The following is a 15,399-nucleotide window of genomic DNA, read 5'->3' on the forward strand; positions in this document are numbered from 1 at the left end:
GATGATATCTCATTGTATTTTTTTATTTGAATTTCTCTGATGATCAATGATGTTAAGCACTTTTTCATATGTCCATTTACCAATTGGAAGTCTTCTCTTGAGAAATGTCCATGCAAATCTTTTGTCCATCTTTTGAGCAGATTATTAGACTTTTTCCTACAGAGTTGTTTGAATTCCTTATATATTCTGGTTATTAATACCTTGTCAGATGGTAGTTTGCAAATATTTTCCCTCTTCTGTGGGTTGTCTCATCACGTCGTGGATTGTTTCTCTGCTGTGCAGAAACTTTTTAACTTGATATGACCCCATTTGTCCATATATGCTTTGGTTGCCTGTGCTTGTGGGGTGTTTACTCAAGAAATATTCGTGCAGACCAATATACTTGATAATTTTTCCAATGTTTTCTTGTCATAGTTTCATAGTTTGAGGGCTTAGATTCAATTCTCTAATACATTTTTATTTAATTTTTATAGATGGTGAGATATAGAGGTCTAGTTTCACTCTTCTGCATATGAATTTCCCAGTTTTCCTCTTTTATTGAAGAGACTGTCTTTTCCCCAGTGTATGTTCTTGGCACCTTCATTGAAAATGAGTTCACTGTATGTGGGTCAATTTGTTTCTGGGTTCTCTATTCTGTTCCGTGTGTGTGTGTGTGTGTGTGTGTGTGTGTCTGTGTGTGTGTGTGTTTTATGCCAGTACCATCCTGTTTTGTTACTGTAACTCTGTAATATAATTTGAAGTGAGGTTATATGATTTGTCCAGTTTTGTTCTTTTTGCTTAGGATAGTTTTGGCTATTGTGGATCTTTTGTGGTTTCATAACAATTTTAGGTTTTTTTTTCTATTTTTGTGAAGAATGTCATTGATAATTTTATAGGGATTGCATTGAATCCGTAGATTGTTTTTGGTGGTATAGACATTTTAATAATATTGATTATTTCAATCCCTGAACATAAAATACCTTTCCATTTTTTGGTGTCCTCCTCAATTTCTTTCATCAGTGTTTTATACTTTTCATTACAGAGATCATTCTTTTCTTTGTTGAAATTAATTCCTAGATATTTATTTTATGTGTGGCTATTGTAAATGGGATTATATTTTATTTCGTTTTTACATTGTTCACTGTTGGTATATAGAAATGCTTCTGATTTTTGTATGTTGATTTTGTATCTTACAACTTTACTGAACCTGTTTACAAGTTTTAATAGCTTTTTAGTGGACTCTTTGGTTTGCCCAAACATAAGATCGTATTAATTGCAAACAAGGATAATTTGAATTCTTTCATTTTAATTTGGATGCTCTTTATTTCTTTCTCATGTCTGATTTCTCTAGCTAGGACTTCCAGTACTATGTTGAATAACAGTGGTGAAAATGGGCATTCTTGTCAGATTTTAGAGGAAAGGCTTTTATGTTTTTCCTCATTCAGTATGATACTATTCTGTATGACAGCTGAGGGTCTCATATATATGGCTTTAATTATGATGAGGTATGTTTCTTCTATACTCAGTTTTTTGAGGGTTTTGATAATGAAGAGATGTTGAATTTTATCAATGCTTTTTCAACATCAGCTGAAACGATCATGTGGGGTTTTTTCCTTCATTCTGTTGATATGATGTATCACATTGATTGATTTGTGTATTTTGAACCATCCTTGCATGCTAGTGATAAATTCCACTTGGTCGTGATGAATGATTTTTTAATTTATTGTTGAATTTGGTTTGCTTATATTTTGTTAAGGAATTTTGGATCTCTATTTATCAGGGATATTTTTGTCTGTAGTTTCCTTTCTTTCTTTTTTTTAAGTATGCCTTTGTCTGGTTTTGGTATCAGGATAATATTTGCCTTAAACTGAGTTTGGAAGTATTCCCTTCTCCTATATTTTTTGTAATTGATTGCATAGGCTCTGTATTAGTTCTTCTTTAAAAGTTTGGTAGAATTCAGCAGTAAAACCACTGGGTCCTGGGCTCTTTTTTTTTTTTTTTTTTTTTGAGATGGACTCTCACTCTGTCATCCAAACTGGAGTACTGTGGCACTGTCTCAGCTCATGCAGTCTCTGCCTCCCAGGTTCAAACAATTCTCCTGCCTCAGCCTCCTGAGTAGCTGGGATTACAGGGATGCACCCCCAGTGCCTGGCTAATGTTTTTGTATTTTTAGTAGACATGGAGTTTCACTATGTTGGTCAGGCTGGTCTCGAACTTCTAACCTCAGGTGATCCACCTGCCTTGGCCTCCCAATGTGCTGAGGTCACAGGCATGAGCCACCGCACCCAGCCCCAGGCTTTTCTTTACTGGGAGATTTTTATTACGACTTTGATCTCATTACTTGTTATTGGTCCTTTCAGGTTTTGAATTTCTTTCTGGTTCAACTGGTTCAATCTTGATAGGTTATACATGTCTAAGAATGTGTCCATTTCTTCTAGATTTTTCAATTTACTGGTATATAGTTGCTCATAGTTGCTATTAATGATACTTTCAATGTCTGTGGTATCAGGCATAATGTCTCCTTTTTTATCTTTGATTTTTTTTTTATTTGGATAATCTCTTTTCCTTAGCCTGGCTAAAAATTTGTCTATTTTGTTTAACTTCTCAAAAACCACCTTTTTGTTTCATTGATCTTTTGTATTGTTTTCTTCATTTCAAATTCATTTATTTCTGCTTTGAAATTTATTATTTCTTTTCTTCTACTAATGTTGGGTTTGGTTTGCTCTTGCTTATCTAGTTCTTTTACATGCATCATTAAGTTGTTTATTTGAAGTTTTTCTTCTTTTTTGATGTAAGCACTTATAGCTATAAACTTCTTTCTTATTACTTCATTTGCTGTATCCCATAGGATTTGGTAGGTTGTGTTTCCATTATCATTTATTTCAAGAAATTTTTCAATTTCCTTCTTAATTTATTTACTGACTCACTGGTCATTCAGCAGCATACTGTTTAATTTCCATGTATTTGTATAGTTTCCAAAATTCCTCTTGTAATTGATTTCTGCTTTTATTCCATTGTGTTTATAGAAGATGCTTGATATTTTTTCAATCTTTTTGAATGTTTTAAGGCTTGTTTTTTTGAACTAACATATGGTCTATCCTCGAGAATGATCCATGTAAATGTTTATTAGATTCATTTGGTCTATAATGCAGATTAAGTCCAATGTTTCTTTGTTGGTTTTTTGTCTGGAAGATCTGTCCATTGCTGAAAGTGGGGTGTTGAAGTATCTAGCTATTATTGTATTGGGGCCTATCTCTCTCTTTAACTCTAATAATATATTTTTTTATATATGTGGGTGCTCCAGTGTTTGGTGCATATATACTTAAAATTGTTATATCCTCTTGATAAATTGAACACTTTATTATTACATAATATCCTTCTTTGCTCCTTCTTAGAGTTTTTGTCTTGAAATCTATTCTTTTTCTGATAAGACTAGTTACTCTTGCTCTTTTTTGGTTTCCATTGGCATGGAATATCTTTCTCCATCCCTTTATTTTCAGTATATGTGTGTTTCCCTCTTTCTCCGCTCTAAGCCACCTGGAGCTGGGGGTGAATTGACACAAGAACCCTGTGGCCACCACCCCTAAGTGTGTACTGGGTCACACCTGAAGTCTGTACAGCACTGGATCTTACCCAAGGTCTGCTGTAACCACTCCCTTGTACCACCTATGTTCGCTCAAAGCGCTGGGTCTCTAGAATAAGCGTTGTAGCCATCCAGACCTATGTCCTTTCCTTCAGAGCAGTGATTTCTTTCCCCTGGCCCCTGGGAAGGTCCAGAGGTTCAGTTAGGGAGCCAGATACTAGAGTCAAAGACCTTAGAAATCGTCCTTGGGTTCTATTGTGCTGCGGCTGAATTGGCACTCAAACCACAAGACATAGTCCTTCCCACTCTTCCCTCCCCTTTCCACAGGCAGAGGAGTCTCAGTAGGTCACATGCCACCCCAATCCACTATCTCTAGGCCCAGCTGAGCCCTAGGACATGACTTGCCTGGGTGTGGCAATTCTTGTGGCCTAGACTCCCTTTCAGGTTTATTTGGAGCCACAGACCACTTTAGCCTGCAGTGGAGAGCCTTACGACAACTCAAACTCTGACCTCTGGGATCAGTCATTCTCCTCTGGCTAGGGCTGGTTTAAATGCACCCTCAGTGGACAGGCATCAACTGAGTTTAATCTAGTTTTGCTTTCTTCTATAAAGGAGGGCAGCATGGAGTTCAATGGCTCAAAATTGCTGGGTCTCCCTCTCAGGGCACAAAATCTCTCTCTAAAGAAAGCTGCTGCTGCTGGTGGGTGGGGAAAGGGTGGTGTCAGTGATTCAAGTCTCCTTTTTCTACTTCTTCAGTGCCTCTTTCAGTGATACAAAGTAAAAGCCAAGGATTATGAATGGTCACCTGATTTTTTGGTTCTTATGAAGGTGCTTTTTTGTGTGTAAATAGTTGTTAAATTAGTGTCCTTGCAGGGGATGATAGGTGGAGCCTTCTATTCTGCCATCTTGCTTCATTCTCAACCTATCCTCCCATTTAAAATTATTATGGTCTTCATTTTTGGAAACAGATGTGACAGGAATCAACAGATGTTAACGGGAAACAAGGAATTTTCCTGATGAGACAATTTGGTCTTAGAACTGTTTTAGAAACCAAGTAAAGTGCAAAGTTTCGCTAGGGCCCTCAAATAAAAATGATGTAAACCAACAGATGACAGCTTAATGAGTTTAGGCAGGAGGATGGGGCTATATAGTATCAAGATAGATGATGTTGAATCTCATGGATAGATTCGGTTACTGACTCTACAGATCAATAATGGCAATCATGATGATGATTTACTGTTAGGGAAACATGTTTTGGTGGTATCTCGGGCTTGTCTGACAATGCATATTCAAAAGATAGATTGAATGCCCTGGAATGTTAACCTTGTCACTGATGATTTTAGCATTTTCTTGAGATGCACTAAAAAAGACTGTTTTTTTTTCCTTTTAAAATTATTGGGCTGAATAATCATATTTAGTTATTTCAATTCTAGCTGAAGAATTTGGTATGTTTCAAAATACTACACTAAAGTTAAATTGCATTTTGTTCAAAAGGTCTCATATTAATTTTTATTATTTTAAATGAAAACTCACAGTAGCTTGGAAAATAAAGTGGTTTCACCTCTATTTAGTATACTACAAACAGTAAAAGTGATATTGAAGGATATTCATATAGTAAAATCACAAAATGATATATTGCATTATATTCAGGGAAAGCATCAGGATTGTGCGAAGTTGGACACCCTTGCATCTTTTAGGAAACAGCCATTGACATCTTTACTGTAAGAAATAATGCACTTTTTTTTGGAGATGGATAAATAGTAATTAATCAAAATTCAATTTCAAGGCATTTGAAAGTTTCTCCGCCTTTCTCCAACATAACAAACAAAAGGATTTTCATAACTTTACTCCTGCAAGTTGTCAATTTTTTAACTATTTTTGTATATTGCTACATTTTGCATATTACTATGTTATATAAAATAATATTGTAAATAATTTAAACAATTTGAATACCAAAGTTCTTTCTATTTGTCATTAAAATTAATTTTTCCTGTGTCTATTGTTCTACTCACAGAGTGATGCAGAGATGTGACCCAACGGGTCTACCTACCAGGGAGGAGGTGTGGTTTTTACTGGAATATTCTGGCAGGCAAAAGTGAGTAGCTTAGTTTGAGGCCTGGAACTTCTCTATACCAGGAAGTCATTTCATTTATCTGTGCCATTGTTTTCTTATCAGCAAAATATGAACTGGGCTATCTAATTGACAGTTTTTCCATGACAAGCAAGTGAGCTGAGCCAATATGAGTAAGGGAAACAAATGCAAATCTCCAATGCCATTTCAGTGATGGATATTAACTTTCAAATGAAATACAAAAATTTACAGCATTTCCTCAATTCAATTTGATATCATTGAAACAGTCTTTATTTTTCATAATGAAATACTCAATGATTTATTATAATATAATCCTTAATTGTGTTTCATGTCTTTGAAATGACAACAATTTTACTCTTTCATGACAAAAATGTTTATTACTTTATATATTAGCAATATCTAAAACCTCCCCATAATTTTCATTTCATCCAACCCACTCTACCACCAGATCAATGTAAGGACCCAGGTTTAGAATGAATGTATCTCCTCTTATTCCCTTATTTATGCCATTCCATGACCCACCAAACACACATTTCATTGATTCTACATACCACTTTCTTTTTCAACTCCTCTTCAACATTTTGATGGTTTTTCTCTCTTCCTTACTAGATTTAATGGTATAGTTAGTCACGACAGTCATTCTCTTGCTTACATTCTCAAATCTCCTTTGTCTCTTGGTTTCAAACATTCATTTTGAAACACTTGATTAATTTCACCCCCTGACTATTTCATGCCTGTATTGCATGTAGCTGAATGTGACTGAAAAGTAGTGTGCCAGCAGGTAATTCTAAGGCATTTGAATTGAACCCCTTTTCTAATCTTCTTTTATTCTCTTTTTAAATATTCCCAAAACACCTATTGCTTTTAACATATTACATCATTTACCTACTACATCTACTATTTACCAGGATGCATGTCCTTACAAGGCTAGGATCTTTGATGTTTTTTCCACTGATATATCTCAAGTGCCTGATATATTAAACACTCAAATATGTTTGTTGGATATATGTTGTTCAATATTTATGTTCTTATCTTCAGATTGTCTATATGATTTAGAGTTTCCAGAAAACTGTTTAACTTTGCATCCACTGACAATGGAAAGACCACATTTATCTTCCTGTGCAAAGGGTTATGTGTGTTACAGATAAAATGTTGATTCATTTTTCTATCTCATTCCCATTCTCTATTCTAGGTGAGTATAATGCTAGTAAAAACTCTAACAAAGTAATTATAATGTGTTCCGGACAGGATCTCTCCTTTTGGCTTTCTCCCTGCTTCTGAAACACATCCCTTTCCAGGAATGCATGCTTTCTGAGGCAGACAAAAGAAGAGTTGTTCAAGGTATGTCAAGATGAAATGTCAGTTTACTGAATTGCAGTTTCTACCTTTTTTCCTATAAAACACTTCTCAATTAAATGCTTAGCTTTCAGTGTCAATAAATCTGATATTATAATTGCTACAATCCTAATACATTTCTAAGTGCCTCTATATCATATTTTTTTCTTTTCTTTTCTTTTTTGTTCTTTTGAGACAGAGTATCACTCTGTCACCCAGGCTGGAGTGCAGTGGCATGGTCTCGGCTCACTGCAACCTCCATCTCCTGGGTACAAGTGATTCTCCCACCTCAGCCTCCTCAGTAGCTGGGACAACAGGCATGCATCACCTTGCCAAACTATTTTTTTGTATTTTTAGTAGAAACTGAGTTACGCTATGTTGGCCAGCATGGTCTCAAATTCCTGGCCTCAAGTGATTTGCCCAAGTCAGCCTCCCAAAGTGCTGGGATTAGAGGCATGAGCCACTGCACGTGGCTAAATGCCACTATATCATTTTCTTACTTTAAAAAATTGATTTGGGGGACACATAAAATCCTTGGTTATTCACATAGTGAGGGGACAATTTTGCTTCTATTTCTTACTTTACAGATAAGGAAACTGAGGCCGTGAAAAATTAGGAAATTTGTACAAGGTCACAAATATAAAGCACTTTTTACTTTGAAATGGTTCTTGAGACTTTTCTTTTTAGAAGCTTCATATAAACATTTCACACACGCAGGAAATTATACCTTCATATCTCTTTGGGGAAAGAAAAAATTACAATAGAAAATATTTCTCATTAAGATAGCCTTGATTCTATTTGACACTTTAACTGTACTATCTTTATCGTGTATAATAGATGGATTATGTAATTACATTACTCTATAGATTCTATTAGAATAGGCAGACATTTGAATTTGGGAAACCAATCAGGCTTAATTAGAAGAACTTAGTTGAAATAGCCTGAGGAAATGAAAAATAGAATTTCTTTTACGTTAAGTCACAGATTACAAAATTATTATCTACATTGTTAAGGCTTTTTTAAAAAAAATTATTTTATTCAGATTATAATATACACTACTACATTTTAAGCCCTATAGCCTGTCATAGTTTTCTTCCTTGTTACCTGATATGGTAATTCTCCTTCTTTAATGCAGTTAATAAAAAGGTCGAGATTCCCTAGTTCCTTCCTATGCTCTTCTTTATTATGATACCCCATCACCTGAGACTGGAAGCTAAATGAACTTCACCTTTCAGATTTTTTTTCACCTGAGAATGTACATCATATGGTAATGGGCCAGCCCACTGTGTCTGTTGGATCTGTGACCGCAGCTGTGATTATTCATCTTAATTTGCTTGTAAAAGATGCTAATTATTTCATAAGGCATTCACTTATAAAATGGAAACCAAAGCAAGCAGAAGCAGGGTTTTGTTGACATGTTTTAAAGTACAGAAATAATTCCAATTGAAATGTTAATTAAAATAATATATCATGTCTTTTAAAAACTCAGATGTTCCAGGTTTATTTGAGATGGTCTTCAGTCCTTGGAAAAATATGTATAGCTCCATCAAATTTGGTTTCTTATTATATCAAAGAAAGGAACATAGTCAATGAAACTTAAGCTCAGATACGTGTGTGACATACGTACAATGTCAGATCTAGAAAAGTCCATATTTAAAATATATATATAGCTACTTTGGAATATATAAAGAAAAAGCTCTATGCTTTAATAGATAACATCTAGTGAGCACTGACTATATCTTATGTTAATAACTCATTTTCTTATCAAATCATCTATGTTAGGAAATTGAGACTTTAACTTTTTGAAAATATTATGATATGGCTAAAGTCTGTAACCAGAAAGTCTGAATCCAGAACCCATTGCTTAATTGCTTGTGTTACTTGCCTTTTGACTAGAAGCTTTATTGATTCTGATATTGCAAAACTCGATATTCATTTTCAGATTGTGAAGATGTCTATTTTTCTCAAAGTCTTTTATCTGAGTTTCACATGCTTAAGACAGTTTCAGAAATAAAATGATGTTTTGTTTCAGAGTGTTTTTAAATGTATATATTTATTCCTAACTGACATTAACAAATAATTGTATTGGTAATGTCTTGTGATTAGTGGCACTGTTGAACAATGTTTGGACTATTTTTTTACCAGGGATGCATAAAATACTTAGAATTTAATTAAATGAAATGAAAAAAATATTTTTCTTAGTGTATAATGCCTAAAAGTTTATTATTGTCCAGAAATTTTGTAAAAAATGTATTTTAAAATATTAACCATTTAGTAATCTTCATAGATTAATTAACCTAATGGTTTAAGAAAGTGCATAGTTGCTTAACTACTTTAAAGGTTACTTCAGACACAGGCTAGTTCAGAATAAGTTTATGAATTAATTCTCTTTCTAAAACATAAAGTCCTGGGAAGTAAGCCAAGGTCAGTTTCTTGAAGCTAACCAAGTAGGCTAATAATAAGAACTCTTACATTAGCCAAACTGAATTATTCAGATGTAACCAGTAGTGTCTAAAATTTCCAAATTTCTTGGAACAACATCAATGTGATATTATGCTCTAATGTCTGGCTAACTTCTGGAAAGATTTACTACATATCCATACTCTTTGGTTATTGCATTCTTAACAAATGAATAGCATTTCTGATAGGACAAGATATTGGTCCATCCTGAAGGAGAGAAGAGGATTATTGCTACCACATGAAAACAAAGAGAAATAGATGGGTAATTTTCAGTGGGTTCGTTGCATTATGTAAACCTATTTGAGCACTTATTCTTATTACACCTTAAATGTATTTATTTTTAAAGCACATAAGAATCAAATTCCTTCTCCCTAATCTTTGTGATTCTCATGAAGTACTTCTGAGATGTGAATCAGGACTTTGCATTCTTAGCAAGCATCCAGGTGATTCTGTCGCAGATGAGTCACACATTGTATTTTTAGAAATACTGAGAGTAGCTGTGTTTTCCAATACACATAACTGTAAGTTTTCAGCAAGACTTGGTAGTGGGAGACATTTAGTTAAAATGGGTAATGTGTTAAGGGATAAGCCTGCCCTAATATTTGGAGTGGCTGAATTGGTTAACAGTATTCTATCAGGGAAAATTTCTTTACTTGACCTTCATTTTCACCTTTGATATGTACATACAGGTTAAGAGTAAGAATGGTGATTTGAATCCAATTAATGTGCATTTGCAAAGATTTAGATGATAAGAAGAGAATGTACCTTGACCTTGGACTAGAGAAGGAACGGAAATGTTATAGAAAAAATGAAAGGGTTATACAAGGAAACTTAATCCTAAGCAGAGCTTTACCCATGGGACTAAGCCTGGAAGGGAATAACTGAAACTGAGACTCAGAGGAAATTGAAGCTTGTAGCAGATTTGTGCCCAGGATAATGGCATGATTCTAAAGATTCTGCTTGCACAAACAGAGTAAGTAAAACCTGGGCACTTTGGCTCACGCCTGTAATCCCAGCACTCTGGGAGGCTGAGGTGGGCAGATCAAGAGGTCAAGAGATCGAGACCATCCTGGCCAACATGGTGAAACCCCATCTCTACGAAAAACACAAAAATTAGCTGGGCGTGGTGGTATGCACCTGTAGTCTCAGCTACTCGGGAGGCTGAGGCAGGAGAATCATTTGAACCCGGGAGGCGGAGGTTGCAGTGAGCCAAGAGTAAGTAAAACCTGGGCACTTTGGCTCACACCTGTAATCCCAGCACTTTGGGAGGCTGAGGTGGGCAGATCAAGAGGTCAAGAGATCGAGACCATCCTGGCCAACATGGTGAAACCCCATCTCTACTAAAAACACAAAAATTAGCTGGGCGTGGTGGTATGCACCTGTAGTCTCAGCTACTCAGGAGGCTGAGGCAGGAGAATCATTTGAACCCGGGAGACAGAGGTTGCAGTGAGCCAAGATTACACCACTGCACTTCAGCCTGATGACAGAACGAGACTCCGTCTAAAAAACAAAACAAAAAAAAGGCCGGGCCCAGTGGCTGACGCTTGTAATCGCAGCCCTTTGGGAGGCCGAGACGGGTGGATCACGAGGTCAGGAGATCGAGACCATCCTGGCTAACACGATGAAACCCCTCTCTACTAAAAATACAAAAAATTAGCTGGGCGTGGTGGCAGGCACCTGTAGTCCCAGCTACTCGGGAGGCTGAGGCAGGAGAAAGGCGTGAAACCGGGAGGCTGAGCTTGCAGTGAGCCGAGATCGCGCCACTGCGCCCCAGCCTGGGCGACAGAGCAAGACTCTGTCTCAAAAAATAAAAAAGAGTGTATAAAAGGAGGTGAAAAATTAGTGGGTTTAAAAAAATTTTTTTTCTTAACAGTCTATCTCAAATGTCATTTATTCCAAGACCTAAAGGAAAAAAAAGAGGAGCAAGATATACAAAAATCAGAACAGATCATTCCAAACAGCTGTAATAAGGTAATAGACAGTACAATGACCCATAGAGAAAGTGAGAAAAAAAATCAAGATGCTTAAACATCCTGAGAGAAGCAAGGAAAATAGTAGAAGAGGTTAGGTAATCAGGCAAGTATCAAATGATACAGGACTTTTTTTTTTTTTTTTTTTTTAGAAAAAGTAAGTAGTTTGAATTTTATTCTAAGTGTGAGTAATTCTTTTGGAAAATTATAAGTAGGGGTGCTTATAACTCCAGATCTCTGTGGCATCCAAATGTAAAATTTTTTCTTGCTCAATTACTTGTCAGCTGAAGTTCGACTATAATTATGCCACCTGTCTTCTTTAGTTTTGAATGCAGGTTGCAGAAATGCTTCCCTCTGAGATAAGACATTCTCATGGAAAAGGAGAAAAGAAAAAGAAAATAGAATTGCAAAAGCACAAGATGGTTTAAAACTTCTACTTAGATGATTTAAACATGGCATATATCATGTCTGATCACCCTCCATTGGTTAAAGCAAGTCCTGATAATCCAGATGTTTTGGGAGGGCCATCATCTTCTTACAGGAAGGGTCAGTGAATAATTGGGGACAATATTTTCTTCTGTATCAAAAACACCCACAACATCATTGAATTTGAAGCTATATAGACAAGTGAATAAATAAATTAAAAAGCTGAATGGAGATAGAAAAAAAGAGGAAAATCCAGAAAAAGACCAAAGAGCTCCTCTGTGTTTAGAGGCAAAGTGGTGGAGAAGGAGTTCGCAAAGATGATTGAGGAGTAAAATCCAGTATAGTAGCAAGAAAAACCAAAAAAATATCTGCCATGGAGAAAAAGAAAATGTTTCCAGAAAAAGAAGATTAACCATGTGGAATGCAGCTGAGAAATAAAATAAGGTAAAAGACATGAAACAATTAGATTTGTATTTGGCAACATTGTATTTGAAATGGCAACAATACGTTTACCGTGTTGGTATTATTTTTTTTCCACCAGCAAATATTGTGTACTGGGTAAGGAGATGTAGGATAAAGGAAAATGATCTCAAAGAAGATGGGGGTGAGTTAGGGAGTAGATGGTAGATAAAAACAACCCAGAGAATCAATGATGGTGGCGATAGTCACGCATATTATTGAATATATGGTTTAGGCTGTGGTGAAAGTAAAGTGAGATTTCAGGGGATAAAATATTCCAGGAAATAATAAAAGTTAAGGGATGGGAAGGGTTTCAGTTTCTTATATAAAGTTAAAGCCCCAATATTAAGCAGGCAGCCCACATGAGTTTGATATTAATCAGAATAGTGACAACAGTTGAAGTGAGAAAGTCTTTAAAGTAGATCTGTAAGTTCCTGGTGAATGAAGAGGTAGTACCACAAGGTTGGCAACTAAAGATGTTGTGTAGTGTGTGCACATATGTGTGTTTATGAGTAATCATGCCATTATTCTATATCACAGAATGTTTACATATTAAATATAATGAGGTACCTTGGCAGTTATAACTGGTTTATATGTTTCATTTGTTGAGAAATGTTGAAGGTACAATTCAGAATGCTGGAAATATTTATAACGGCAATCCCTCTACATCTTAAAGTTAGATGGTATGAACTTTCCCAATTCATTAAGTGATGTTCAGTAAAATTTTGCACTGCTTTTTAATGGCAATTTGCATCATAAAGGAAAGAATAGGAGTACGTTAATTGGCTCAAGAATTATTTTCTTAAGTAACTGCACTCATTTGCATTTTGGAGTGAGGCTCCAAAACTGAACTCAAGCTCTCTATGTCCTAGGTGACCTTGTTAGAATGCATGGTTATAATTATACTGAATAATCAATGGAAAAACAGGAAACTTCAAAGGCTAATGAATAGAATGCTCTATAGTATTTAAGGTTTTAAAAAAATGACTAGCTTTTCATTTATTTTCTTTGTGCTTTTTGCAAAACTAATTCTCACATTTCACCTGCATGAACTCTAACTGGGGCGTATGATATTCTGTTGATCATATAGGCTCCTTCCATTAATAACTCTATTGCTCACAAATTTATAGATTTCCATTTTCACCCACCACTTATCACTATTTATTTTTTAAATAACTTTTATGTGATGCAAATTGCTTTTATGCTTCATCAAGACTGAAATCCTAAATAAAACAGTATTTTGTGATTTTATGTTAGAACACTTCATTGTCTTTGATCATATCCTCTGCCCTAATCTAATTTATTACTACCATCTAATCTAATCTACTACTAATCTAACATTAAAAACAAAAAAGTACGAATTATCATTTTTCCTTTACACTTAAAAATCCCTTTGGATTAACTATAATATTTGTCCTATTTTTAAAAAGTGCTTGCTCAAAAATATAGTTCAGAAAATTATGGTCTTAATAATTTATTAAACAAATTATCTCTAACAACCAGATAGGAAGAATAAGTTCTATTGCTGTATACCATTGCAGGATGACTATAGTTAACAAAAATATATTATATAGTTTTAAGATAGCTAGAAGGAGGATATTGAATATCCCTAACACAAATAAATGATAAAAGTTTAAGCTGATAGATATGTAAGTTAATCCTTATCTTCTCACTATACATTATGCGTATTGAAACATCACTAATACCCCAGAAATATGTACAATTATTATTTGCCAATAAAAGAAGATAAACAAAAACTAACACATGCTTAAAATTAAAAAAAAAAAAAACATACTCTTCAAAGATAATAGTTCATTCAAATTCTTCAGAATATACCTTTCATTGCTATCAAAACAATAGATTTAAAGGACACTTGTTGGAATTCAGGCTGTTTACTGAATATAAGTACTTTCTTTTTTTTCTTTTTTTTTTTTTTGTTGAGACAGAGTTTTGCTCTTGTCGCCCAGGCTAGAGTACAATGGCTCAGTCTCGGCTCACTGCAACCTCCGCCTCCCAGGTTCCAGCGATTCTCCTGCCTCAGCTTCCCAAGTAGCTGGGATCACAGGTGTGCGCCACCACGCCTGGCTAATTTTTGTATATTTAGTAGAGATGGTATTTCACCATTTGGCCAGACTGGTCTCGAACTCATGACCTCAGGTGATCCACCCGTCTTGTCCTCCCAAAGTGCTGGGATTACAGGCCTGAGCCACCACACCTGGCTGAATATAAGTACTTTCTTAACAGATCTGAGTAGTTTTTAAATCTGTGCATGTGGATGATAGTAGGAAACAAATAATAAAATGTTTTAGTGAATAATGTAGAAAAATCTAAATCCACAGAACACTTGGTAAATAGCCCTGTTAATATAAAAATTTAGGGGAAAAAACTGGAAAGAATAAAAAGAACATCTATTTACTAGATCACAAGTATCATGTGAAAACCCAGTAGCTAAATTACCAGACTTTAAGCTGTGATTTTAGGGGATTTGGTTTCCGGCATTCTCTTGGTTCCTCAGGCCCACCAAGTTTCTGGCACCCTGGGCCCTGCTTTTGTAGCCATTGCGACTTGTGTTTCCGCCCCCTCTCTCCACCTTTCTTGAAGTGGTCATCTATTTAAAATGAACTTACCGAGTGCCTAACTTTTTCCAAGCAATTGTGCTAAGCACAGTGTTAGGATTTGCTAACTCCCGTGAGGCATCATTTCTTTGAGAATGTGTTTTCTTCAATTGCCTGGACATGGGCAGCTTCTCCTCCCCTTACAGTCAGAAATCATGGAGAAAAGCCTTTAAACTTCCTGCGATGATAGATAACCACAGAGCACTGGACTTGAGAACACAGATTTTGAAAATAGAAAACTCTGCGACTGAATCTTCATGTACTTTTGTAATGTGTCAATGTAGCTACACTGAAATACGTTTTTTATTATTTCCTTTTCTGTATGTTTCTGGCTAATTGGATCACAGAAGAGACTGTTGGGAGAGATTCAGAGGGTGAAAGTGAAGGGGCAGCCATTCTGTAGCTCTCCACTGTGTCACTCACTTGCTTGTTTCCTTACTTTGAGGCAGTGGCCAAGCCTGCAAATGTCCCACCTTCTTT

The 15,399-nt window shown here is 35.5% G+C and overlaps 1 long non-coding RNA gene across 1 annotated transcript in view; it reads left to right on the top strand.

Moving 5' to 3' along the window:
* LINC01425 (long intergenic non-protein coding RNA 1425) overlaps window positions 1-15,399 on the top strand; it is a 50,431-nt gene that overhangs the window by 32,412 nt on the left and 2,620 nt on the right. The window contains exons 3-4 of the long non-coding RNA NR_109958.1: window positions 5,577-5,657; window positions 6,903-6,995. This is a non-coding gene — a long non-coding RNA (long intergenic non-protein coding RNA 1425). The remainder of the gene's footprint in view (window positions 1-5,576; window positions 5,658-6,902; window positions 6,996-15,399) is intronic.

The sequence above is a fragment of the Homo sapiens genome, chromosome 21 (genome assembly GCF_000001405.40).
Source record: "Homo sapiens chromosome 21, GRCh38.p14 Primary Assembly".
Classification (NCBI taxonomy): domain Eukaryota; kingdom Metazoa; phylum Chordata; class Mammalia; order Primates; family Hominidae; genus Homo; species Homo sapiens.